Here is a 3,299-nt window from a genome sequence, read left to right as displayed (position 1 = left end):
TAAATTTAAAATGTCCTTAATGAAAACATGAAAGTATTTCTTGTCTTATGATGATGCCAAGCAAGGGGCTAACTGGCTCCCTAGCTCTAACTCCGTCTGGCTCAGTATTACCATTTTACTTTCTACATAGAGACCAGAATACATTAAAACACTGTTTCTCTTCAACCTTAGTATTTGATCTATCCAAGTGGGTATTTCTAACAAATTGAAAGTATTTAATTGAAATGCATGTTATAAATAATTGCAATAATTTACACATTCTTAAAAATAACAATCCTTTTAGTTAGTAGATGCTCAACAATTTCAAAAACACCCTGTGTTCTCTCTTTTGATCCTTGACAACCCTGTGAGGTGGAAAGTGTACATGATACGGGTGAGAAAACTGAAGCTTAGAGAGATCAAGAATTTGGCTAAGGTCACAAACAAATTAGACTGTTTTCAAGATCTGCCTAAGAGTTTGTGATAATATCTTCTTAGTATTCCTTGTCGAAGGAGGAGAAACTGCCAGTTAGGTGGGAGAGTTCCAAACTCTGTACCCTGCACACAAGTCCTGTGATCTCATCTGGCTATGAGCTCCCCAGGCTTGCTACAACACCCTGAGTGACATCTGCCTCTGTCACTTGTCTAGAAGGAAAGGTGTTTAACCTAAAATGATTTACTTTCCACATGTAAGTAGTAGAAATCAAAAAGTCTTATCAGAAAGCCAACGTGATAAGAACTTTCTGAGACTTTTTCACAAACCAGTAGTACTGACATGGTTACAAACCTCATTGCCTTTTTGAGTAAAGAATGACAAATAAATGAGAATGGTAAATTGCAGATATCATCTTAGAAGCAGTGACATTCTTGGTAGGTATTGATAAAGAATAAGACATTGAACTTGCTGAGTCTCCTTCCCAGGAAGAACTCTATGAACTTCCATATGGTCTTTTCTTTTACATTCATCACAACAGCCCCACTGAGAGTCTAGACAGAAATTATGATCCCCATTTTACCTATAGAAAAGCTGAGGGTCCAGAGATCAATCGACTATTCCAAGGTCACATGGTGTCATCAGAAGAGACTCACACCAGAGCTAATTTCTCTTCAATGATTTGATTATTACATGTAAGTGACTTGCTTGAGGTAATCAAAGGAAAATATTTGGAGAATGAGGACATTTATGACATGCTTATCAAATATGCAGGTGACTGAGGACTGAGTGCTATGCTAGTCTTAGCTCTGATTTGGATAAGTTACTTAACCCTTCTGGGCCTCAATATCCTTCTTGGGGAAATGAGACAGTTAGTTGAACTAGATTAGGTTTTTCCAACTTTCTTTTTCTTTTTAATTTCATCAAATTAAAATCTGATGAATTTAATTGATAAAAGCTGATCCCGCCTCCTGCTTGGCTCCCTCCACCGCCTACTAGACCCCTGGACACAATCTAAAACCACAGTATTAGGTCATCTGAAAGCTTCTTCCTGTTCCTAAATTCACTGTTTTTATGATTGAAAGCAACTAGCCTCCTAATCTGGTACCTGTTCATGTTCCCTGCAGCATCTTGTGGTATAAAAGAGCCCCCAGACATGATGTCAGAGGAGCTGGGAGTGAATCCTCACAACCAATTATCTATGCAACCTTAATCAAGTTGCTTCACCTCTCTAAGTCTCTGTTTCCTCATCTATAAAATGAAGATAGTAACCCTTCCCAGGTAAGAGTGCTTTGTAAACTGTAAGAGACTAAGTAAATGGACGGTGTCATTAGTATTATCTCCTGTGTACAATATCCTTCTCCATGGAGAGGCGGCTTTATCCTTAGAATGACTCAGAGTACCAGTATGGGTTGAGCTGCTCTTTGGCAAGCTTGCCTTGGTATCTATTGTATTTGGGCTTCATCTTCCCGTGAGCTGAAAGCCAAGTCAGTAGAGAGGATGTGAGCTACCAACACAGCAAATAATTAAACCAAGGAGATGCCATCATTAAGTCCAAAGGGAAAAATTATCCCCATATGGTGACCTTGATAATAATTGCCCAGCTCTATTTCCCCCTCCACACGAAGCCATATTCCAATAATAATTACTGTCATTTGAGTGCTTACTTCATGCTAAGTAGATACTGTTGTTTACATGAGTTGTCTCATTTAATCTTCATAAGAACCTTTTCAATGGCATTACTCCTAATCTGCAGTGAGAAATAATCTGAAAAATAGTGTATTTTTCCTATTTTGTAGCTTAGAAAGGCTAACTAATTTGCTCAGATAATCAGTAAGTGACAGAGCCTGGACTCTGAATTTAAACCTCTGAACTGATCACCTCTGCCTCTCCCAATTGGAAGAAATGATTTTCCACACTCACTACGAGGGCCAACAGCCTCATTCCTGTTTATCTTTGCCATGCTTTAGTCAGCCCCATCTCTCCATGTTAATTATTATTTTCATTTCTTTCTCTATTCAAAAAGACTCCACTCATCTTCATAAAACTCAGAGGTGGAAAGCACCTATTAGTCATTGATGTCCCTGCTAACCACAACCCCCCTACTTGTTCTCTGTAACATGGTTTCTGCTCAGGGAGCCTCAGGGAACGGAGCCCAATCTCTTCCTTTGCGGAGTTAGTCCCGTAACTAATTCATCTCTGTCAGGAAGATTTTCCTCTTAGGTTTATCCTCTTCTTTAGTTTTGTATTTTATCCAATTCTTTCTCTCTGTGGGCTGCACACTTCAGCTCTTCAGATCACATTGCCTAAGCCTGCCCAGGCTCTCAGCAGTGATTTTGCTGAGCTGCCTCTTTCCCTTTTTCCATGGTCAGAGTAGCTTTCTTATTAGCACCTGGAGGATGGTGTCTCCAGTGGACAGAGGTAGAGGTGAGCCGTGGGAGGATGTTGGGAAAGAAAGTGAGGAGGAAGAGGTGTGAGCAGGAGGTTTGAAACCTGCTTAGTCAGAAACTCTTGGATCCAATTTGGCTTGGACCTTTCTCTTAAGTTGCCCCTCTACTGGCAGCAGAGGCATTTGCTATCCAGCTAGGCATGATTCCATTAGGATGCTGTCCCAGGCCCTAAAATTGGTGTCAGGAATCACAGAAATAAATGGAGTGCACCAGTACAAAGGAAGACATTGTGGTACAGTGGAAAGCATGTCAGCTTTAGGATTTGAAAAATCTAGTTTAAATCATTGCTCCACTTTTTACATAACTGTATGGTTTGGCAGTCATTTAACCTCCTGAACTTCAGCTTACTCATTTGTAAAATGGAGAGATAATACCTAGCTTAGGAGTTTCCGTAAGGATTATGGAGAATGGCCTCACACATAGTAGGCACTCAATCA

General features: G+C 40.0%; 1 annotated feature.

Moving 5' to 3' along the window:
- Nucleotides 2,267-2,736: an enhancer, noted in NCBI's record as "active region_5372". NCBI's record gives its function as "activates an Ori minimal core promoter by ATAC-STARR-seq in GM12878 lymphoblastoid cells {active_cell/tissue: GM12878}" and the evidence as "EXISTENCE:reporter gene assay evidence [ECO:0000049][PMID:35858748]".

The sequence above is a fragment of the Homo sapiens genome, chromosome 11 (genome assembly GCF_000001405.40).
Source record: "Homo sapiens chromosome 11, GRCh38.p14 Primary Assembly".
Taxonomy (NCBI): Eukaryota; Metazoa; Chordata; class Mammalia; order Primates; family Hominidae; genus Homo; species Homo sapiens.
The sequence above is the reverse complement of the archived record's forward strand: the minus strand, read 5'-3'. Positions and strand labels throughout refer to the sequence as shown.